Source organism: Homo sapiens, chromosome 17 (assembly GCF_000001405.40).
Source record: "Homo sapiens chromosome 17, GRCh38.p14 Primary Assembly".
Classification (NCBI taxonomy): Eukaryota; Metazoa; Chordata; class Mammalia; order Primates; family Hominidae; genus Homo; species Homo sapiens.
In genome coordinates this window covers 19,736,963-19,759,386 of record NC_000017.11, presented here as the reverse complement: position 1 = coordinate 19,759,386, position 22,424 = coordinate 19,736,963, and the positions used below count along the sequence as shown (strand labels likewise).

Here is a 22,424-nt window from a genome sequence, read left to right as displayed (position 1 = left end):
ATTCGTCAAGACTGGTCTCGAACTCCCGACCTCAGGTGATCCGCCTGCCTCAGCCTCCCAAAGTGCTGGGATTACAGGCGTGAGCCACCACACTCGGCCCATTCTCTTTTATCTTTCCCACACTGAAACTCTGTTCCCATTCAACACTCATTCTCCATTCCCCTCCCCTCAGCCCCCAACAACCATCATTCTAACCATTCTATTTTCTGTCTCTATACATTTCACTTCTCAAGTACCTCGCGTAAGTGGAATCATACAGGATTTGTCCTTTGGTGACCAGCTTATTTCACTCAAGGTTCATATCCATGTTGTAGCACATGTCAGGATTTCCTTCCTTTTTTTTTTTTTTTTGAGACAGAGCCTCGCTCTGTCATCCAGGCTGGAGTGCAGTGGCACAATCTTGGCTCACTGCAACCTCTGCCTCCCGGGATCAAGTGATTCTCCTGCCTCAGTCTCCCAAGTAGCTGGGATTATAGGTACCCGCCACCATGCCTGGTTGATTTTGTATTTTTAGTAGAGTTGAGGTTTCGCCATGTTGGCCATGCTGGTCTCAAACTCCTGACCTCAAGTGATCTGCCCACCTTGGCCTCCCAAAGTGCTGGGATTACAGGCATGAGCCACCATGCCCAGCCTCCTTACTTTTTTTTTTAGAGACAGAGTCTTGCTCTGTTGCCCACCACTGGAGTGCAGTGGTTCGATCATAGCTCACTGCAGCCTCAAACTCCTGGGCTCAAGCAACCCTGGTGGCATGTGCCACTATGCCTGGCTAATTTTCTTTTTTTGTAGAGATGGGTGTCTCACTATGTTGCCCAGGTTGGTCTTGAGCTCCCGGTCTTAAGTGATCCTCCACCTCAGTCTCTTGGGTCGCTGGGAGGACAGGCATGAGCCATGGTGCCTGGCCTTCCTTCCTTTTTAAGGGTGAATAATATTCCATTGTATGTGATTTTTGTGGATGGTTTTGAATGGGTCTGGGGGGCTCTGTGGTTGTCTTAGTGATTATGGGGCGGAAGGACACAGCTGGAATGGAGCGTGCTCCAGTTTGGGAGGCACTGGGAGACTCACCCACTCTCCACCCATCACCAGGGGTCCCAAGGCCTGAAATGCCATCATCTTGGGCTCTGTACATCCTTCGTGTGCTCTGGGCCTTTGCCCTGTGGAGACCTCTCCCAAGGATGAGGGAGCAGAGCCGGCCCTTCCATATCTTCCAGCATCTCTGCCATGTAAACAGAAAACTAGACATTGGAGAGCTGGTGAGAGTTGAAGGAATCATGAACCTAACAGGAGAGAAACAGGACCTTTTTCCTTCCTTCCCTGGAGCCTCCCTCACACACAGATGGGCTCCCCACCACTCTGCGCCAACCATGGGGCTCCAAGGGACTCCCTGATGGAGATGGGGGTACCTGCAAGGAAAGGGGTGGCGTTTCATTGCCCGTTGGGATGTCTTCTCATACAAAGGACTAGCTGAGCCACCGTCTGTGTCATTTGAGCTGGTTGAGCAAGAAAAAAGAATGAGACAGAGATGGCTGGGCAGAGAGGGGCTGAGTGCGGTGCCTGCACAGGCGTCTTGCATGGGGACAATGCGTTCGCTCCCTCTGGGCCAGCTGCACCCCAGGAGGCTTGCTGGGTGGGCCACCTTGCCGATGCCATGGCCAGGGACCTGCTGGTGAGGTGAGGGGCCCCATGGAAGGTACTTGGCGGAGAGTATGGGGGGCAGCAGGAATCTCCCTCCCTCTCCAGGAACCCAGTGGTGGGTAAGCACTGCAGGGGCTGTGAAGAGCAGCACCTCCCAGGAGCACCAGTTAAGTCAGAAGTCCTTCGCTCTTGCCCATTTTTCTCCTACCAGCCGATATTCCAGAGGGAAAGGGAGACCCAGGGTGGGCGGGGTAATGAGGCCTTCCTTGTCCCCTTCCTCAGGGCCACAGGCCCAATCCAGGCTGGGCAGAAGCGCATTCACTAGGGTCAGCTTAATAAATTCTCCTGGACCTGGCGTTTTGATATGGGACACCAGCCAGGAAGGGATGGGAGCTGTTGGGGTGTCCTAGGGATGGATAATAAAGGTTGGACAAGGGACAGTGGGAGGCAGTAATTGGGAAAAAAGTCATTTTGTATTCATACCTCACTTGGGCCAAATAATAGTGTAAAACTAAAAGTACAGGAGGGCTCTGTACTTTTAGTTTTAAGTGGGGGGCAAAAACCTTGGGGCACAGAGGTGGGGAGGGGGAGGGGTGCCCATCCCAAATGCTACAGCCAAGGCCTGGGGTGGCAGTGGAGCGGAGGTGAGTCTGAAGCTCGTGTCCTGGCAAAGGAGGGCAGCCCAGAGTGGGAAACAGTGGGTAGAGAAATGCGCCTGTGATTACGGAGCAGAGACGGGAGGACCCATCGACACAGCGGAAAGGTAGGAAGAACTCACAGACAAGCCAGGGGAAGTGGAAGGAACAGCACTGGAGGCAAGAGGAAATAACCGGAGGAAGTAAACCGCTCCATACAGGGGGAAATTGAGAGGATAACCCCAAGTATTTCAGCCATTACACAAAGAGAGGCTGTCAGGATATTGTCTGAAAACAAGCCCTAGCTCTGCAGGATTGACGGGATGCATGCGGAACAGCAAGGTCGAGAAGGGCTGGGGGCGGTCCGTGTGTGGACAGATAAGACACAGACGTGGCGTGCCAGCAGTGTGAGCCACAGACAGGCGGACTTTCAGCTTAGAACATGTGATGATGAAAAGCAAATCTTATAAAGGAAAAAAGTCATAGACCCATATGGACTAAGCAAAATGATGGTTAAATACACAAAGCCAAAATTACTAGAATTGTAAGGAGAGCTTGATCCAAATACAGTTACAGTGGGCGATGTCAATACACAGCTCTCAGGCCAGTCAATAAAAAGGAATGATATAAAAGAATAACCAATACATTTGATTTAATAGGTGGAGATTCTTTTTTTTTCATGTGTGTAAAGTATAGTTGTTAAAACAGCAGAAACAGAGTAAAGAGGCCGTGGCTCCTCTGGGGCAGTGGCAGAGCAGGCCCCTGCATACTTACTTAGACCTGGGGAGGAAGGGCTCTATGCTCCAGCAGGTCTAGGGCTGGCAGGCAGGGAGGTGGGTTCTCACGTGTTGGCCCTCATGGCAAAGAATGGAGATCTGGTGGGGCTGATGGTGGGCTGGAGAAAGCCTGATCAAGATGTAGCTGTGGCCTCAGCCCCCTCCTCCAAGTCCCACACTGCAGGTAATCAGCAAAGAGAGCCCTGGCCCAGCACAGGACACGCCCCAGGTGGCGTTTTCACATGAGGCGGTCAAAGCACATGGCCAGCTCGTTGTCATCCAGCGCATTGCACATGGTGTGGTTGCGGTGCTCCAGCAGGAGGGCCAGGTAGAGGAACAGCATAAATGGGTTCCCCCAACCAGACTCCTGGGGTGGGGGCAGCCCCATTGGTGGTGTGGGTGGCAGGGACTTTCCAGGGTCTTTCTGGGAGCCTACCTCTCGCACCAAGGGGGAGCCGACAGCATGTCAGCAGTGGCAGACGCCTCCTGGGTGGATGGTGGAGATAAGGAAGATGGGGAACCAGGATGGGAAAAGGAGGAGAGCAGTGGGTCTGGGGAGTTTGGCAAAGGCTTGGAGAGGGACTTGGAGCTAATAAGGGTGGTTGGGTGGGGCAGCTGGACCAGAGGGTCCCTCCCGAAGCCCATGTTATCCCTGAGTTGCTGGAGGCCATCCAGGACGGCTTGTCTCAGGTGACACCCCCTGCTACCAGGCCCCTGGCTGGCTGTGGCCAGGTGGTCAATGGCATCTTCAAAGGTACTACCTCCTCCACTGGCAGGCCTTAGCATGTGCCTGTCACACGGGCTGCCCCCTGTGGCCACCAAAACCAGTGTCTGCCACTTAGCTGGGGGATCCAACCAGTTCTCCCTCATGTTCAGGAGGATCAGGGGACAGCGAACTTCAGGTGACCTCACACATGTAGAGGGCATCTTTGAAGGCGAACTCTCGCTTGAGCTCCAGCAGCAAATTCAGAGGAAAAGCAAACACTTTCACTCCTGTGTTATAATAGGAAAACAAAAATAAAGGACCTATATAGTTTAAGCACCAAAAGAAACTAGGAATTGATAGAAACGGAAATCAATGAGCTGGGAAACCAACACGCATCCCATTCATACTTCTTTTAGAGTGGATGAGCGACCCCACGCATGGACTGGTCTCTGCAAGCACTGATGAGACAGACCTGGGCACATCGTGATTTGCAGTTTCCCTGGGAAGGGGAATGGGGATAGCAGACACGTTCAAGACTAGGAATGAGAATAGAATTTGGAGAAAACCGTATTCCACACTCTGGCAATATGTTTGCAAACCTGGGGGGAAGGACTCCCCAGGATATGAGTCTCCTCAAGGGGATGCCAGGTCAGATTCTCGGGTGAAACCTGGCTCGATCACTCACTAGCTGTGTGACCTTATGCAAATCACTTAGCCTCTGTGTTCTTCAGTTCCTCATCTCTCATGGAAATAATGATAGTTTCTGCCTCTTGGGTGCTTGTGAGGACTAAAGGAGTTCATACATGGAAGTGCTCAGACCTGGCACATAGCAAAGGGTCAGGAAGGGGTGGAGTTGTTATTAAACGATGCTGGCACACAGGTTGTGCATCTGCAAAAAAAAAATACAACGTGTGGGCTGGGCGCGGTGGCTCACGCCTGTAATCCCAACGCTTTGGGAGGCCGAGGCAGATGGATCACAAGGTCAGGAGTTCAAGATTGGCCTGGCCAAGATGGTGAAACCCCATCTCAACTAAAAATACAAAAATTGGCCGGGCGTGGTGGCAGGTGCTTGTAGTCCCAGCTACTCAGGAGGCTGAGGCACAGAATTGCTTGAATCCGGGAGGCAGAGGTTGCAGTGAGCCGAGATCGTGCCACTGCACTCCAGCCTGGGTGACAGAGTGAGACTCTGTCTCAAAAAAAAAAAAAAAGGAAGAAAGAAAGAAAAAGAAAAAGAAAATCAATGTGCATTTCCATTTGCATTTGTAAAATCAACTCTTGATGGATTCAAAGTGAATAATAAAACAATAAAAATCTTAGCAGAAAATTAGGAATTAATCCTGGGGCAAGGAGTACCCTCCTAATCTAAACTAAAACAGGAGAGTTCTATTTAGCTTTATAAAAACTTTTATATAACAAAATATACCATAAATAAAGTCCGTGGATAAATGATAGATTCAGGAAAATACTAGTGATGCAGATGGCTGTAATATACAAAGAGCTCCTAGACACTGACAAGGAAAACACAAACCCTTCCAAGAAATGGGCAAATGCCAATGGCCATTGCACAGTGAGGAATGCACCAGCCACTAGGCGGCAGGGAAACGGCAGAGTGCCACACACTGCCAGGCCAGCTGGAACTACAACAGCCCCTTAGGGCCACCTTGGTGGATAGTCACCGGCAACACCTGTGAAGACTGACAAAGCCAGCATCCCTGGGATCTAACACGCAGAAATACACACGCCAAGACATGCAAAGCGGCCCATGGAGCATTGATCCAAAGTGGAAGGCAAAGTGGTCTCCCATCCACGGGGAACATTGTGGTTGCTTGCACATTCTACATGCTTACCACTGCTTTCACACGGCCATGAGGAGGAATGGACTCCAGCTCCCGGCCGCCCCGGAGGGAGTGGGGTCAGAAGATGCAGAAGAGGGTGCATGATGAGGCTCTGCTTTTAAAATGCTGACAGCTTCCAGTGTGTCATGTACATTTTTGTGTATGTCAAATAAGCACTGAGAAAAACTTAGGGAAAATATTGTGGATTACAGATGAGACACTCATATTGAGAAAGGGGCAAACCAAGTACGTACAAAAGAAAAAGTCTGAGCTAAACAATGTGTATTATGTTTGTAAAATTACATTTGTGTGATTATTGTGAAGAAACAAAACTTAAATTTTCTTTGCATTTTTCGAGTAAACATTATATTTCATGTGTGATGAGGGTGCATTCCGTGTCCGTTAAGATCCAGGACGGGGCTTCCCAGACCCCAAGAGACTGGCAGTACCAACCCAAGCGTGCCCTGGCATGTCCTCCTGGCATGCCCGCTGTGTCCCTTCCAGGATGGCCGGGGTGTGGGCTGGTCTGCAGAGGCTCTGCAGCTGGGGCTGCAGCCAGGCGGTGACTCAGGCAGGTTCCGCCTGGGCTAGGAGGGCCGGGCATTCCTGCTGTGAGGCTGCCCGTGCCTAACTCACCATGACTTGCACTTTGCTGCCATCCTGCCTGGCAGGCTGACTTAGCCAGGATGGCCCTAGTACCCACTTCCCCTCCAGCCAGCACTCATGCCTTCTGCCCCGCTAAGATGCCCTTTGTCCTGACTCGGCAGAGGCTTCCTGGGAGCCAGGGCCTGGGCCTGGGAGCCACAGCTTCCTGGGAGCAGGAAAGTCCAAGGGAGATGGGGTGAGGACTGGGGCCTCTGCAGCATCTTAGGGGAGGCTCCCCCTTGCTCGCACTCACCTCCGCTGGCTGCAAACCTGCAGCTTCTCTGACCCAAGGCACTATGACTGGCAGCAGATAAAGAGATGAAGAAGCCCCAGAAGTCCTTTCCTACAAGTCCCCAGAAGGTGTGGACACAGTGGGGAAATTGCCCCGGGCACAGCCAGTTCTGCTGACTTCATGCCTCTCCAAAGAGGGGCTTTGTAACAGTAACAGAGGGCTTTGTAACAGACTGACTGCTCTTGGCTGGGCACGGTGACTGGATTACAGCTCTCTGTGGCCTTCAACTCCTGGGCTCAAGCGATCCTCCCACCTCAGCTTCCCCGAGTAGCTGGGACTGCAGGTGCGTGCCACCACGCCCAGCAGATTTTTACATTTTTTGTAGAGATAGGGTCTTGCTTGGTCACCCAGGCTGGTCTCAAACTCCTGACCTCAGGTGATCTGCCCGCCTCTTCCTCCCAAAGTGCTGGGATTACAGGTGTGAGTCACCGTGCCTGGCTGAACACTAAGTCGTATTATTTCTACCTAAATATGTGTTTGTACGCACTAAGCAAGCTCTCTTTATTCCCCCACCTCCCCACCCTTCCCAGCCCTGGTAACCACCGATCTATTCTCTATCTTCATGAGATCCACTTGTTTGGCTCCCACACATGAGGGAGAACATGTGGCATTTGTCTTCCTGAGTCATAACACTTTTAACCAACGGGGAGGTCCCTGAGACCCACTGCCTAATTTTCTCCTTTCTACTCTCTCTTTTTTTTTTGAGACAGGGTCTACCTGGTCACTCTGTCCCCCAGGCTGGAGTGCACTGGCATGATTACAGCTCACTGAAGCCTCGACCTCCTGGGCTCAAGTGATCCTCCCGCTCAGCCTCTCAAGTAGCTGGGTGCATGCCACCACGCCCAGCTAATTTTTTTTTTTTTTTTTTTTTGAGATGGAGTCTCGCTCTGCCCTCATCCAAGTTGGAGTGCAGTGGCGCAATCTTGGCTCACTGCAACCTCCACCTCCCAGGTTCAAGCGATTCTCCTGCCTCAGCCTCCCGAGTAGCTGGGATTACAGGCATGCACCACCACGGCCAGCTAATTTTTGTATTTTAGTAGAGATGGGGTTTTACCATGTTGGCCAGGCTGGTCTTGAACTCCTGAGCTCAAGTGATCTGCCCGCCTCAACCTCCCAAAGTGCTGGGATTACAGGCGTGAGCCACCGCACCCAGCCTCCTTCCTTTTTTTTATTTTTTGTAGAGATGAGTCTCTCTATGTTGCCCAGGCTCCTTCTACTCGTATAAAGAAAGTGGTTTCCCCTCCCAACAACTATATCTAATCTAAATGTTCCTTGAAATTTAAGCAAACTCGCTATTCATTCATTCATTCATTCATTCAACACTTTTTTTGCTAGCTTTGGGTGAATTTGCTGAAAATCGTCTTGCTAAATGATTGCTTTTCCATCAGAGGGATGGTTAGGTGTAGTGGGCTGCTTCCGTATCTTCAGAGGTCTCCCTTGTGCCAGGATATGGTGCTGAACAAAAGTTGAGATCTCTGCCTTTGTGGACATTCCAGTCCAAGGGGGAATAAGGAGAGACATAGTCACACAAACAAAGATATGAACGCAGGTTGTGACAGGTTCCTGGAAGTAAGGAAGGTTTTATTTGAGAGGTGAGAGAGGTCAGGGAAGCTGAGATCTGAACATGGATAAGAGTTAGTCTGGTGCAGAGTGGAAGAAAAAGTGTCCCAGGGAGCAAGAACAGCATGTGCAAAGGCCTTGTGGTAGGAAATTGCCTGGTTAAGTCAAGGAATGCCAGCAGACTGGAGTGCAGTGAGAATGGTGGGAAGTGGTGCGAAGTGAGGCTGGCAAGGCAGCCAGGAGCCAGGCCAGGCAGGGGCTCACAGGCCATGGGAGGAAGCTTCCTGACAGCAAGGGGGTGCCACCCAAGGATGTGAATCAGGGGAGAGACATGCTCAGGTCCTTATCGTCCGCATGTCTCTCTGGCAGCCACTTGGAGAAGGCAGCTGAGCCTGACTCAAGGAGAGTAGGTAGAGGGCAAGAACAGTGGCCTGGGAGAGAGAGAGTGAGTGACAGCCCAGGTGAGGATGAGGCATTGGGGATGGAGTATTAGGACTTGCAAAGATTAACTCATGCTTGCAATCCCAGCACTTTGGGAGGCTGAGGCGGGAAGATGAATTGAGCCCAGGAGTTTGAGACCAGCCTGGGCAACATAATGAGACCCATCTCTACAAAACATTTAAAAATTAGCCAGGCATGGTGGTGGGTTCCTGTAGTCACAAGGTGGGAGGATCGCTTGAGCACCGGAATTCAAAGCTGCAGTGAGCCGTGATGGCACCACTGCACTCCAGCCTGGGCAACAGAGCAACACCCTGTCTCAAAAAAAAAAAAAAAAAAAGAAAAAAGAAAATCTGAAAAGCAAGTATCTGCAAGTTTCTAGCACAACCCACACTCCCACACTTTTGCCACTACTGAAACTATAACCAAAACCCAAACACGCAAACAAGGATTTTGTTCTTCGTAGATTTGAACTGCTTTTAGGCTCCTTGCTCTGACGCTTCCACCACTACTGCTGCCACTTTTGATGACACCCACACCACCTAACCTTTCCAGGATGCCCTCGGCCCGCCAGGCACTGTTCTGGTCACTTCGTGTACTCAATGCTGTGTTGCTGGCTTTTGCTAGTTGCTTCCATGGTTCTCCCAGGGGAGGGCCGCTGCCACAAGAAGTCAGCTCCGAATGGCCTTCGGCCTTGCATTCTGCCCTCTACTCAAGATCCAAATTCCCAGGAGAGTCAGGGAGGCCTCATGGGGAGCCCACCCCAACCCATGGCTGGCCTGGAGAAGGCACCTGGTTGATCATCTCACCAAGTAGGAAGGGGTTGCCTGCAAAGATAATCAGCTGCTGCCACCAGAAAAGGGGAGAGGCTGGCACAGGCTCGGTCTTCTCCCCTCTCAGGAGGCACCCCACTTTGCACCTACCACCCAGTCCAGCCCCTGCACAGGTGCGAGGTCCTGCAGATGCTTCTTTCTGCTGTTTCTGGAATGTTTCCCATTCTGTTAGTCTTATTTGGGGGTCTCGTCATTTCTTGCCTGCATTGCTGGAAGCTGCAGCCTTTGGGCTAGACCTTTCTCACACTGTGCCCTGTCCAGGGGGTTCTCTAAAACAAAAAATAGCAGACATTTGTCTGTCTGATAATCTCCTCAGCGCCCTGCACCCCCACAGCCAGCCTGGCCCACAGGCCTCCGTGAGCCCCCGCCCCAGGAGAGTCATTCACCTCCACACCTCCTGCTGGCAACAGTGGACACATCGCACTTTTTCGTGACATAACGTTCCCAGCCTCTGTGCCTTTGCTTCTGCTCTTCCAGCCCCCTTGCTGTTCCTTGCCCAAATGCTTCTCACTCAGCTCAGATGATGTTCCCTCCCACGGACTCTCACCCCAGCCCCTCTAGCATCCTCTGCCTACCTGGTTACTACAGTGTTCACATTATTTTGAAATTTCCTGTTTATTTTGTCAGTCAATAAATATTTATTGAGCATCTACTATAAATGCTGTATGGAGGTTACAGCAGTGAACAAATCAAATTCTAGCTGTCAGGAGTTAAGGGACAGGTAGCAAACAAGATATAAACGCTCCAGAGAAAAAATAATGGAGGAAGACGACAGCATTGTGCTATTTTCCACAGCACATTGGAGCGTAGCCGTGTGGGTGGATGTAGGGGAAGGGGGCTCCAGGTGGAGAGAAGCAGGAGGGCCAGAGCACATCCTCAGGACTCGTAGGCCAGGACCGGAACCTTGTGTTTTCCTCGAATGAAATGGGAAGCAGGGACCCCATGCTGGTAAGCAGTCTGCCTGCAGGCGGGTGAGGGTGGCGGGAAGCGCCTGGTGAGAGGGGCCGAGAGTCTGTTCCACACCTGCCTCCTCCCCACAGCGTGGTGCAGAGCAGGAGCCCAGCGAACATTGATCAGACAGCGTGGGAACGGCTTTTCCAGACTCCTTCCTTCCCAAGCATCTCTGGTTTTCGGTGACCACACAGACCCTTGGCCCTCTTCTCAGCTATTCAACGAGAGAGCAGATTTATGGATTGGAGACCCCCATCAAAAGTCCCCAGCCTGTGGCTCCCCAGGGTTAGGATCTCTGACTCAATGGGGCCCTGTGCACACTGGGGGATGTGAAGGGCCCGGGGCAGCGGTGGCTGGGGGTGCGTTTCGGGGGAGCTGCATGCTCTCACTGTGGTTCGTGGCTGAGCCCTGCCGATCTTATGTAACCAGAGAACTCAGAGAACCGCATCTGGCAGCGGCAAGTCTGGAAAGCTGGAAGAGCTCCATGCCAGGCTGAATCAATCAGCAGCCCCCACGCCCAGGGCAAACATAGGCTCTTTTGAAGATTGGAGATGTGCCCTGCCCAAGCCTTCAGAAACATTCTCGCATTTCAGAAGTGAACAAAAGCAAACAGCCCGGGACCTAATCCCCAAAACCTGGGCTGTAGGGAGCAGAGGTCCAGAGGACGCCACACCCCACATTTGAATATTTTTTTTTCTTGTCACGCAAACTTCCTGGGCAGGAACTCCAAGGGCTCAATGGACGGGAAGCAGGGTCCTTAAATACGTCCCCTCTTGGCTCTTGCCGTTCCAGGAGCCCCAGTTACCGGGAGAGGCTGTGTCAAAGGTAATCCTCTTCCCTGCATTCCTTATTTTTTCTCTTGTCTAGGTGGAGTCTGCACTCAGAGCCGGGGCCCTAAGTGTCAAGAGTCCTACATCATCTCTCCAGGGGGTCCCTGCCTCTGGGACCATCATCTCTGGAGCATCCTCCTGGACCTCTGGCAGCTCTGCCATCCCCCAAACCAGGAGGCAGAGGTCCCAGGGATCCGCGGAGCAGGGACACCAAGGTGGCCGTGGAGTGAGAGGCCCTGATGGGCCGTCAGACTCCATGACTGGAAGGAAGGCAGCAGAGCCGAGTGCTAAAGGCATGAGCTGCTGACAGAGATGCATGTGGGTTCAAACCCTGACATGCCACCTGCTAACTGTGAGATCAGATACAGCATTAAACGTTTCTCAGTCTCCCTTTCCTCATCTGTAAAATGCACTCATAACCGTTTCTTCTTCATGGGCATCACTACAGAGCTTTTGTGAGGATGGAAGGCAATGAGGAGGGGAGGAGGTGTCACTGGGGGGCAAAGTCAACACTGGCACAGGTGAGAGGAGCGGGGTGCAGGAATGTGGGGTGTGAGGCGACGGGCTCTGGGGAGGCCCCCAGTGCATGCTGCAGCAGCTCCCATTTGGGTGCAGCTGCGACGTGATGGTGTCCACTCATCTCTGTGAAGTGGCACCTTTGTTAACCTGTCTCTCGGGGAAGTCCTGGGAAGGCCGTCCAGCCCAGAGACCACAGTTCCAAGTGGCGATGCTGGGGTGCAAGGCCAATCCCGTCCCACGCTCACCAGGCTCTTCCCACCTGGGCTGCCTGCCTTGGTTTGACCGTACAAGGCTCGGGAGAGAAGCGGGACCTTCTCTCCTGGGTTGTGGTCAGCAGGAGGGGCCTGGCCCATGGGACTGAGGAGGTCCCAGTGAGGGGGCTTTCCCAGCCTCCTATCAGAACATAGGGAGGGACCATGGAAGGGCCAGGCTTAGAGCACCCTCAATGCCAGCAGGTCCCTCCTCCCTGTGCAGAAAGCCTGGGATTAGGGGTCAGCCTATGGGGAGGGGAGGCAGAGGAAGGATTGGAAGCCACTCGCTGGAATGTAGGCAGGACCATATATCTATATACAATATAATTATATATTACATATGATATATAGGGTTTTTTAAAAAAATGGAAATACCCTATTTCTGCTGATGTTAAAAGTTATGCCGGGTCTGCAAGTGGGCTGAGTATCTCAGGAAGGGGAGTAAGGAACTGGTAACAGTGGCCCCTCTGTGGGGCAGCACCTGACAGCTGATGGAGCAGGGAGGAGGGAGGCAGACTTTTTTCTGTGCCCCTTTGCTATATTTTACATTTTGTTTCATGAGCATGTAGTGCCTATCTTAAAACGCACCAAAATTTAAAAAATACAAGCTCATTGCAAAAAGTCAAACATTGCATAAGAGGAAAACAGATCATCAATAATTCCACCCCCATCAGTTGTCTCATCGTGTCGGGGGCTACCGTTCTAGTCCTTTCTTGCATGTTAGAGCGTGCACGCCCACACACACACGCACACGCGCGCACACACACGCACATGCACACACACGCACGCACACACACACGCACATGCACACACACGCACACACACACATGCACACACACGCACACGCACACACACACACGCACACACACACATGCACACGCCTGGTACATCTGTTGTTCTGTAACTTGTTTTCTGTTTTTCTTTCTTTCTTTCTTTCTTTTTCTTTTTTTAGATGGAGTCTCGCTGAAAGTAATTATATTACTTACCCGAGGCCTTCAAATACCGCTTCCACTGACAGCCTCTTGACTTCTAGCAAATCTCACTAACCTTGCCTTACCTCCTACCACTAATCTAATAGGAGAACTCTGTGATTATGGCTCCATTCTCCCGGTCAAAGTGCTGGAGTGCAATGGCCCAATCTCGGCCCACTGCAACCTCCTCCTCTCAGCTTGGTTCAAGCAATTCTCCTGCCTCAGCCTCCCAAGTAGCTGGGACTACAGGTGCCTGCCACCACTCCCAGATAATTTTTGTATTTTTAGTAGAGACAGGGTTTCACCATGTTGGCCAGGCTGGTTTTGAACTTCTGACCTCAGGTGACCCGCCCACCTCAGCCTCCCAAAGTGTTTGCTAGGATTATAGGCGTGAGCCACCGCGCCCGGCCTGTAACCTGTTTTCTTTCTTATCCCCAGTGCCTGAGACACCCCTGGTGCAGAGAGAGCCCCTACAAACATGCTGAATAGCCTGCTCCACCTAATCCCTAAATACTGCACAGTAAACCCTTACGTGGGTGTGACAGGAGTCATTTAAACTGTCTCCTTTCTTTCGGATCTTTGGGATGTTTACAATACTTCCCTGTTATAGAAAACAGTGATGACTTTCTTATTCGTGAATGTTTAGGAAAGGCTGTAGGACCTTTTCGTCACAGAGAAGTATGTTTGAAAAACTTTTGCCACATATTGCCAAATTGCCCCCAGCAGGGCCATCCCGATTTGCCACTATACTTTCGTGTATTGGTAGCAGGAATCGCCTCCACACCTCTTTGTGGAAATCTGCAGCTCTCTGAATCCTTGGCGGGCATGGGCGTGCGTCTCCCAGGTGTGGCACGCGTGGTTTACACACCAAGCCTGGTTCAGCTCTGCCAAGAAACCAGCGCTTTTTAGAACAATGGCTTAGCCAGGAGGGTGGTGCTGGGTTTTTCTTTATCGGCTTGGGTGTGGAATCGCGGACTGCGCCCCTCCAATCTGATCTGGAGAGTGGCTGACTGCGTGTGCAGAGCTCTGGGGGTGTTGGTCTGGGATTGTGCCATCAGCTTTGCAAGCAAGTAAGGGAGCGGAAAAGGCCGGGAAAGGCCCTGCCGCGAGCACGCTGCCAAGAGCCCCCAGCAGCAGTTCGGCTTAGGACTCGGGTTGCGGCGGGTGTCACCTTCTCAGGGGCTAGCAAGGCAGCCAGGGCCCAGGCGTCTGAGTGAGGGGCGGGAGAGGAGGCGAGGCAGAAAGTGGACCTTCCAGCGGAAAGGCCATTTTCCCCAAGGCCGAGCCCAGGGAAGTCCCTTCCTATAGAATTCAGGCAGGGTGGGAGGCAGGGCGCGCTCGTGCCCCTCAGCCAGCTGCAGGTGCTCTCTGTCCCCAGGCGCCATGAGCAAGATCAGCGAGGCCGTGAAGCGCGCCCGCGCCGCCTTCAGCTCGGGCAGGACCCGTCCGCTGCAGTTCCGGATCCAGCAGCTGGAGGCGCTGCAGCGCCTGATCCAGGAGCAGGAGCAGGAGCTGGTGGGCGCGCTGGCCGCAGACCTGCACAAGGTGCTCAGGCTGGGCGGCCGCCTTCTGCCAGTGTCGGGGCCATGCGATGGGGCGTGGGGGGAGGGGCTGGGGAGAGTGCGACCCAGAGAGGTTCAGGAAGGACTTGGGGCCACCTGGCCCCTCGGTCGCGGAGACTGGGCGCACCGCCCTCCCCTCCGCCGCGCCCCGCGCGCCCCCGCCGCCTCTTCCGCCCTCTGGCCTTTTCCTCCTGGCCCGGCCTCCGCGTCCCGCCCGCAGCGTCCCCCATTTCAACTTCCTGCTGCCCCGACACCCTGAACTTCTGGTCCTCCCCATTCCTCAGCCCCACGCAGGACCACTTGGTTCTCCACACCAGGAACCAGAGCAGCTTGGCACCCCGGAGGGCATGGGGGGCTCTCCCCTCCCTCCCAGTTCTCACAGGGGCTGTTCCGTCCCTCACCCTGAGCAAGACCAGACACCTCTGCATTCGCAGCCCCCTGCTGTCCCCACATGCTGCCTGGGGTCCAGCGCTCCGGAGCCCATCCTCCCACCGACTACCCTCTTTGCTCCTGCACTTTTATTTTTATTTTATTTTATTTATTTATTTGAGACAGAGTCTCGCTCTGTCGCCCAGGCTGGAGTGTAATGGCGCGATCTCGGCTCACTGCAACCTCCGCCTCCCGGGTTCAGGCAATTCTCCTGCCTCAGCCTCCCCAGTAGCTGGGACAACAGGCGTGTACCACCATGCCCGGCTAATTTTGTATTTTTAGTAGAGACAGGGTTTCGCCATGTTGGACAGGCTGGTCTTGAACTCCTGCCCTCAGGAGTTCCTCAGGAGGAGTTCTCGGCCTCTCAGAGTGCTGGGATTACAGGCATGAGCCACAGCGCCGGGCCTGCTACTGCACTTTTCAAGAAATGGCTCAGGACTTCTCATCTTAAACCAGAAACAACAAGGAAACCCATTCTGTTGACTTTACAGCTTCTGTGTTGCTCTTCACAGCCCAAGTTTATAAAAGAGACGCGTTTTCCGCCGTCTGCATCTCCTCTTCTCACCCCTGCTCCCCACAGGAGGCCCTGAGCGCCCAGCAGCCCTTGGTCCTGCATCCCCCTCCAGACAACTAAAGGGCCTGGCTCCCTCCACCCTGCCCGGATCCAGCTCCCAGTGCCCGAATCTATCCCCCCTCCCCGGATCCATCCCCCCCTCCCCGGATCCATTCCCACTGCCTGAATCTACTCTCCCCTGCCCGGCTCTATTCCCCCTACCTGGATCCATTCCGTTGCCCATGCCTGGTCCCTTCACCGGCTCTCTCCCCTGGGGCCGCAAACCTACCTGGGCCCCCCTCTGGCAGAAAGGGGTCCTCTCAGACCCACAGGTCCAACGGCTAATCCTGGCTCTGCTTCCCCTGGGAGCCTTCTGCGGCTGCCCCCACCCTGGGCTGGGTGAGTGACCCCCATCACCCTGGCAGCTGAGCAGTGGGGCTCCCCACTCGCCCCAGCTGCAGGCGGGCCCTGGCCCTGGAAGCTCACTCCGGCTCTGTCGCTGCAGAATGAATGGAACGCCTACTATGAGGAGGTGGTGTACGTCCTAGAGGAGATCGAGTACATGATCCAGAAGCTCCCTGAGTGGGCCGCGGATGAGCCCGTGGAGAAGACGCCCCAGACTCAGCAGGACGAGCTCTACATCCACTCGGAGCCACTGGGCGTGGTCCTCGTCATTGGCACCTGGAACTACCCCTTCAACCTCACCATCCAGCCCATGGTGGGCGCCATCGCTGCAGGTGCATGGCCCTGTGGGAAGGGAAGCTGGGGGAGCACCGTCCCCCAGCGTGGAGCCAAGCCAGGATGGGCTCAGGCCTGTGTTAAGAGTCCTGGGGTCAGATAAGGGTTTGCTGGGTCTGTCACAGGAGGCTGTGGGGACCAAGCTGTTTAGCCAGGCCTCTTGGTGCCTGAGGTCCAGTCAGGCTCAGGTGTCCACACCTGGTGATACAGAGAGGGCCTGCCTTCCCCCACCCCTGTTGGGGGGCTGGAGCTTCTGTCACCTAATATGCATCAGGGCTTCCTTCCTAGAATGGGCCAGCGCTGTTCTACCAACCGGGCCCCCAGAGCCTCTCTCCCCTTTCTGCTTTTCCTCCAACATCTCAGCAACTCAGAGGGCCAGGTGGTGCAGCTCTGGCCAGCGTGTGCCCGTGTGTGTCCCTCTGTCATGTGCCCGTGCGTGCTCCTGGGTGTGCCCCGTGACATGTGCTTGTTTGCTAACAACTCTTCCATCCACTGTCCCGAGGACACACAATGGAGGGGAGGCTTCAGGTGTGGTCCTTGGGAGGGCAGAGCCTCTGGTGAAGTACCCTGGGCATAGGCCTGGCTCGGTGTGCTCTGCAGGGAACTCAGTGGTCCTCAAGCCCTCGGAGCTGAGTGAGAACATGGCGAGCCTGCTGGCTACCATCATCCCCCAGTACCTGGACAAGGTGAGTTGCCCTCCAGGGCCTCGTAACTCCATGGCCTCATAACTGAGCTAGGGCCAGGTCTTTGGGGGGTGAGAAATAGTGAATTCTTGCAGCAAGGGGCCAAGCTACTGGTGGGGCTGAGGATTGTTCTTAGCAGCTGCCCTCTCTCATTGGGGTGAACAGAGCCCCTGGGCCAGGAAAGGCGGTCTACTGCCAGTTACTGCTACCCCCCGCCCAAGGTGGGGTGCTGAGCTTCGGGGCTGCTGGTCTTGGCCACTGCAACTCACCCACACTTGCAAGAGCGAGGAGGGGCTTGGTCTTTGCTGAGCCTCCCCTCTCTCCTTGCATGGAAGGATCTGTACCCAGTAATCAATGGGGGTGTCCCTGAGACCACGGAGCTGCTCAAGGAGAGGTTCGACCATATCCTGTACACGGGCAGCACGGGGGTGGGGAAGATCATCATGACGGCTGCTGCCAAGCACCTGACCCCTGTCACGCTGGAGCTGGGAGGGAAGAGTCCCTGCTACGTGGACAAGAACTGTGACCTGGACGTGGCCTGCCGGTGAGAGGCACGGGCCTGCTGGCTGCAGCAGTCCTTACTCTGCTTTCCAAGCACACATGACTGCACCTCATGCTGTGGGTCCACTCTGAGTAACACAGACACCCCCTGCCTCATGGAGCAGTGGTCCTTGCAGAAACTTACATGGGGGTAGGGGTGGGGACCACATGCACAGAAGACGTGTGGGGAGTCCCAGAAGGCTTCCTGGAGGGGGAGAGGTCTAGGCTGAGCTCTGTTTGCTGAGTGCGCATCACTGGGGAAGTGGTACTCCAAGCAGAGGCTGCAGAAAAAGCAGCTGTGGGACGTTCAGGACACAAGGAACTGTACTGGGTTCAGCCCTCTGATGGGGCAGGGCAATCTGAGTTCTGGAGAGCAGGCCCAGAGGGGAGAAGGGCCACCGCTGCTCGGGGTCTGGGGCAGAACCCGTATCTGCACCTCCTGACCCTAGCCAGGGCTCTGACCACCTCCATATCCCACATCTGTGGCCCCAGAGATGTAGGGGGGCCCGAGTAGCAGTGACACCTGGCTGTGCAGGACAAGGGCGTGATCAGGGAGCACGGAGGTTGCCCTCAACAGACGTCCTCTAGAAATTCCCCACCAGTCGCCGGTGAACATGATCAGGGCCATTGGGTCTGCTCGGTCCAGTGTCTAGAAGTGAGCAGACCGCTTGGGAGGACTCACTGGTGGCAAGGTCACAGCCGATGGCTTCTGCTGACCAGAGAGCTCAGGGGTCTGCAAAACGAGATGCAACTCCTGGGGAACCTTTTGGATTTAGTCCAGTCTGGGATTCTCACAGACGCATCGCCTGGGGGAAATTCATGAACAGTGGCCAGACCTGCGTGGCCCCTGACTACATCCTCTGTGACCCCTCGATCCAGAACCAAATTGTGGAGAAGCTCAAGAAGTCACTGAAAGTGAGTGTTGACCCCTTGGCAGGGTGGGATGAGAGGCTGTAAGGCACAAGGGGGGCCTGGCCCCTTAACCAACTTCTACAGATTTGGAAACACTGGATTTATTTTCTTCTAATATAAACATAATGCAAGCTAGGCATGGTGGCTCACACCGGTAATCCCAGCACTTTGGGAGGTAGAGAGTGGAGGATCACTTGAGGCCAGAAGTTTGAGACCAGCCTGGGTAACATAGCAAGATCCCATCTTTACAAAATATGTTTTTAAATTAGCCAAGCATGGTGGCATGGTGGTGCATGCCTGTTGTCTCAGCTACTTAGAAGGCTACGGCGAGGCTGGAGCATTGCTTGGGCCCAGGAGTTTGAGGCTGCAGTGAGCTATGATTGCACCACTGCACTCCAGCCTGGGCAACAGAACAAGACCCTGTCTCTAAGAGAAAAAAAAAAGATAATGCACACTCACTATAGATTATTTAGAAAAGATTAAAAAGCATAAAGAAGAAAAAAGCTCCACCCAGAATCCCACCACCCAAAGACAGACACTGCTGGCCTGTGTCTGTGCAGCCTTTGGGCAGGACGAGGCTCTGCGTCCTTACCCGAAGCCCCCACCTCTTCTCCACAGGAGTTCTACGGGGAAGATGCTAAGAAATCCCGGGACTATGGAAGAATCATTAGTGCCCGGCACTTCCAGAGGGTGATGGGCCTGATTGAGGGCCAGAAGGTGGCTTATGGGGGCACCGGGGATGCCGCCACTCGCTACATAGGTGCGTGACCCCTGAAGAGCACAGCCCACCTGCCCAGGCTGCAGGGGTCCCCAGCAAGTTCACAGCAAGTGGGCACAGATGCTTGATAAGCGGACACGACCTCGGGATGGGTATAAATTGCTTTCACCAGGGAGCCTGCGGTAGACTCCAGCAGGCAGGGGCTGAGGACAGCCCCTGCTTCAACCTCAGAATCCCCTCTCCCAGCAAAGGCCCAGAAAGAGGGGCCTCATCTCCCTGCCCCTCTGAAGCAGCAGGAGCAGGGACAGCAGAAGCCACAGGAGCCCCAGGTGTGCCCAGCCGTGAGGGGCCCCCAGTGCCCAGGCTGTGGGTCACCAGATGGGACCCTCTTGGCCCCGAGTTTGTCAAGGAGACAAGAGAATTCTGGCAGGGCATCAGGTGGCCGGCAGGTGCAGTGCCTGCTCCTGGAGACAGATCTCGGGTCCTTCCGTACAGGTTAACCTATAGTTGTCCCCAGTGGTCTGCTCAGATGGCATCCAGGACGCAGGTGCCTAGGGTACCTCTCTGAGGCCTCGTCCCTGCCCTTTTCCAAGCCTGGGCAGGTTTGCCTGGAAAAGGGTTGGAGCAGGGGTCTAGGTGCTTGCACTTTCCATCCGCGTGGGGGTCTCTGCGCCGTCCAACTCTGGCTTGTTTCCTGCCTCAGCCCCCACCATCCTCACGGACGTGGACCCCCAGTCCCCGGTGATGCAAGAGGAGATCTTCGGGCCTGTGCTGCCCATCGTGTGCGTGCGCAGCCTGGAGGAGGCCATCCAGTTCATCAACCAGCGTGAGAAGCCCCTGGCCCTCTACATGTTCTCCAGCAACGACAAGGTGGGTGGTGGGCCTGGGGTGCCCTCTGCCAGGGTCCTGGGGCCCACAGACCTGGGTTCAAACTGCAGCTTCACTGTTCTCTGGCTGTGTGACCTTGGGCAAGTCACTGGATCTTTCTGAGCTCCTTTCACCTCGTCTGTAAGATCAGGACAGCAGCATCACCTGAGGGCACTGAATGAGCGATCCTTGCCCAGGGCCCTGCACACAGGCATGGGGGCGGCTGCTGTCACTCTTTGCTCATGTGGTGCTGACAGCCACGCGGTCTGCAGGAAGAGCAGGAGATGGAGGCTAAGGCTCTGCCTCCACCTGCTCCTGTCCTTGTGGCTCCAGGCTATACCCAGGCAGGGTCGGGTTGGGGGCTGGGGCATCCTGTGGGCAGGAGACTGAGGCCAGTGGCTGGGTCCTGGTGCAGGTGATTAAGAAGATGATTGCAGAGACATCCAGTGGTGGGGTGGCGGCCAACGATGTCATCGTCCACATCACCTTGCACTCTCTGCCCTTCGGGGGCGTGGGTGAGTCTGGGGCTGAGCTTGCTGCCTCCCTCTGGGCCCCAGGGCTGGGCACACTCACCCAGCAAATTCAGGAGGGACCACCTCCTGCAGCCCGGGCGGCAGCCTCCCATTAGCCTCTTCCATTTGGACCTTGGCCTCTGCGTGCCATCCATCAGACACACTTAACCTGGGAGCCTAGAGGTTCCTAGAGGTCACCTGGTGCACCGGCCTATTTCATGGAGGCCTGAGAAAGGTGACCCAGGCCAGAGGTCACACAGCCATTTAGTGGCAGAGCTGGGATTAGACCCTTGCTGGGCACTCCCACAGTGTGGATGCCCTGGGGACACCCTAGACATTGGCCACCCTCAGGAGGCCCAGAAAAGGGCCACAACCTGGGGCTGGGTGCTGAGGGCCATAGGATTTGAGGGAAGGATGGGTGATGGTGGCTGGGGCTCTGCCTCCCTGTCCCTGTGGTTCTGGGATACACCCAACAAGGTGGAGAGGGAAACCTGGGGCGTCCTGGGGGCAGGATGCTGAGCCCTGTGCTTACTTCTCCTCCGCAGGGAACAGCGGCATGGGATCCTACCATGGCAAGAAGAGCTTCGAGACTTTCTCTCACCGCCGCTCTTGCCTGGTGAGGCCTCTGATGAATGATGAAGGCCTGAAGGTCAGATACCCCCCGAGCCCGGCCAAGGTGAGAGGGGGAAGGCGCTGTGGGGGAGACCGGGCTGTGCGGGACCAGGGCCTGGGGATCACTGCCCACTCCGTGTCCCTTTCACAGATGACCCAGCACTGAGGAGGGGTTGCTCCGCCTGGCCTGGCCATACTGTGTCCCATCGGAGTGCGGACCACCCTCACTGGCTCTCCTGGCCCTGGGAGAATCGCTCCTGCAGCCCCAGCCCAGCCCCACTCCTCTGCTGACCTGCTGACCTGTGCACACCCCACTCCCACATGGGCCCAGGCCTCACCATTCCAAGTCTCCACCCCTTTCTAGACCAATAAAGAGACGAATACAATTTTCTAACTCAGCAAATGCAGGCATATGGCACTTCTTTTGTAGCCCTGCACCCACCGACCTGTCCTGCCTGATCCCACTGCCCCACGCAGTGTGGTCACTGATGTACCAGCAAAGGCCTCTCATCAGCTGGTGGGGCCTTGTGCCAGGAGGCCATGCACGGTGTCAGGGTGACACTTGTCTTCCTTTTAGACTTGGGGAGGTCAGCTCCATCTCTGGTGTGTCCAGCCAAGGAGAGCCTGAGGAGGCTGGGCCTTGTCGGCACAGTGGCTCAGATATGGGGAGCTGATGCCGTCTCTTCCCAGACTAGCTTCACTATCTCGGGCAGGGGCCACTTTGTGAGACGATGCAGTAGTCAACACAAAACGCCCTGGTGATGTCATAGTGCTGCTCGTGGGGGCAAAGGACCCGAGGCCAGGCAGCACCAGCACCCACGGTGCCTCAACTGCATGGCGTTGGGCTGCAGCTGGCCCAGAGTCCCGCCCCAGAGGCCTGAGGAGCCAGGACAGGGTCTGGCAAGGGGAGTCTGAAGCTGGGTGTTCTGGGGGCTGGTTAGACTCAGAGCCAGGAAGCCTCCCAGCCTGGGCCTGGCAGGTAAGGGGAGGCTGCTGGGGGAGACCTGCTGAGGCTGGGCCTGTCCCTCAGGGTCCTCTACACAGACTCTCCTGGTATCATGCAGGAAAGCCCTCCCGGCTTTTGCTGAGATTTCCTTGTGAAAACATAGAGTTTTGTGCCACCACCAACAGGTGTGCCTGGCCCCACCTGTGCCTGCTCCCAGCAAAAGCCCACCCTCCACCTGGCCCGTGCCCCGCCACCACCACCCCCTTCCCACTCCTGACCTTACTCTCTCTCCTGCATCTTCAGTTTCCCCTTCTGTCCTGGACCATTCCTATTCTCTAGTGTCTTGAACCTTATTCCAAGTCCCCCAGACCCCAAATGCAACCAGAAAAACCGTTAAGTGTTACCTGTGCTTCCTTCCCTCCAGTGAGGGGGTGGGAGCAGGAGCAGAGAGGAAACTGTTTTCTTATGTTTTGTTTTG

At 55.0% G+C, this 22,424-nt stretch overlaps 1 protein-coding gene and 1 pseudogene across 6 annotated transcripts, besides 7 other annotated features; one reads left to right on the top strand and one right to left on the bottom strand.

Annotated features, from left to right (window-relative positions):
• LOC441784 (TBC1 domain family member 25 pseudogene) lies at positions 2,981-4,006 on the bottom strand (annotated as a pseudogene).
• Positions 3,317-3,556: an enhancer, noted in NCBI's record as "active region_11862". NCBI's record gives its function as "activates an Ori minimal core promoter by ATAC-STARR-seq in GM12878 lymphoblastoid cells {active_cell/tissue: GM12878}" and the evidence as "EXISTENCE:reporter gene assay evidence [ECO:0000049][PMID:35858748]".
• Positions 4,357-4,496: a silencer, noted in NCBI's record as "silent region_8299". NCBI's record gives its function as "represses an Ori minimal core promoter by ATAC-STARR-seq in GM12878 lymphoblastoid cells {active_cell/tissue: GM12878}" and the evidence as "EXISTENCE:reporter gene assay evidence [ECO:0000049][PMID:35858748]".
• Positions 5,457-6,656: an enhancer, noted in NCBI's record as "MED14-independent group 3 enhancer chr17:19656044-19657243 (GRCh37/hg19 assembly coordinates)". NCBI's record gives its function as "activates an origin of replication core promoter dependent on BRD2, BRD4, P300/CBP and CDK7 cofactors, and independent of MED14, by STARR-seq in HCT116 cells {active_cell/tissue: HCT116}" and the evidence as "EXISTENCE:reporter gene assay evidence [ECO:0000049][PMID:35650434]".
• Positions 6,074-6,604: an enhancer, noted in NCBI's record as "H3K27ac-H3K4me1 hESC enhancer chr17:19656096-19656626 (GRCh37/hg19 assembly coordinates)". NCBI's record gives its function as "activates a minimal SCP1, AML or CMV promoter by ChIP-STARR-seq in naive H9 embryonic stem cells {active_cell/tissue: H9 hESC(naive)}" and the evidence as "EXISTENCE:reporter gene assay evidence [ECO:0000049][PMID:30033119]".
• Positions 8,853-9,132: an enhancer, noted in NCBI's record as "active region_11861". NCBI's record gives its function as "activates an Ori minimal core promoter by ATAC-STARR-seq in GM12878 lymphoblastoid cells {active_cell/tissue: GM12878}" and the evidence as "EXISTENCE:reporter gene assay evidence [ECO:0000049][PMID:35858748]".
• On the top strand, positions 11,089-21,403 carry ALDH3A1 (aldehyde dehydrogenase 3 family member A1). Of its 6 annotated transcripts, none has more exons than NM_000691.5 (11): positions 11,089-11,128; positions 14,253-14,419; positions 15,924-16,155; positions 16,757-16,842; positions 17,175-17,383; positions 18,177-18,294; positions 18,910-19,051; positions 19,713-19,879; positions 20,292-20,391; positions 20,934-21,064; positions 21,152-21,398. In NM_000691.5, exons 2-11 carry the CDS (start codon positions 14,258-14,260, stop codon positions 21,164-21,166), a joined length of 1,362 nt encoding a protein of 453 aa, NP_000682.3. In that variant the 5' UTR covers positions 11,089-11,128; positions 14,253-14,257; the 3' UTR covers positions 21,167-21,398. The 6 variants fall into 6 exon arrangements, with proteins under 6 accessions (NP_000682.3, NP_001317079.1, NP_001128639.1 ...); NM_001135167.1 differs by lacking the exon at positions 11,089-11,128 and adding an exon at positions 13,775-13,944 and having other exon boundaries at positions 21,152-21,403; NM_001330150.2 differs by lacking the exon at positions 14,253-14,419.
• Positions 13,413-14,380: an enhancer, noted in NCBI's record as "H3K4me1 hESC enhancer chr17:19648320-19649287 (GRCh37/hg19 assembly coordinates)". NCBI's record gives its function as "activates a minimal SCP1, AML or CMV promoter by ChIP-STARR-seq in primed H9 embryonic stem cells {active_cell/tissue: H9 hESC(primed)}" and the evidence as "EXISTENCE:reporter gene assay evidence [ECO:0000049][PMID:30033119]".
• Positions 14,440-14,499: a silencer, noted in NCBI's record as "silent region_8298". NCBI's record gives its function as "represses an Ori minimal core promoter by ATAC-STARR-seq in GM12878 lymphoblastoid cells {active_cell/tissue: GM12878}" and the evidence as "EXISTENCE:reporter gene assay evidence [ECO:0000049][PMID:35858748]".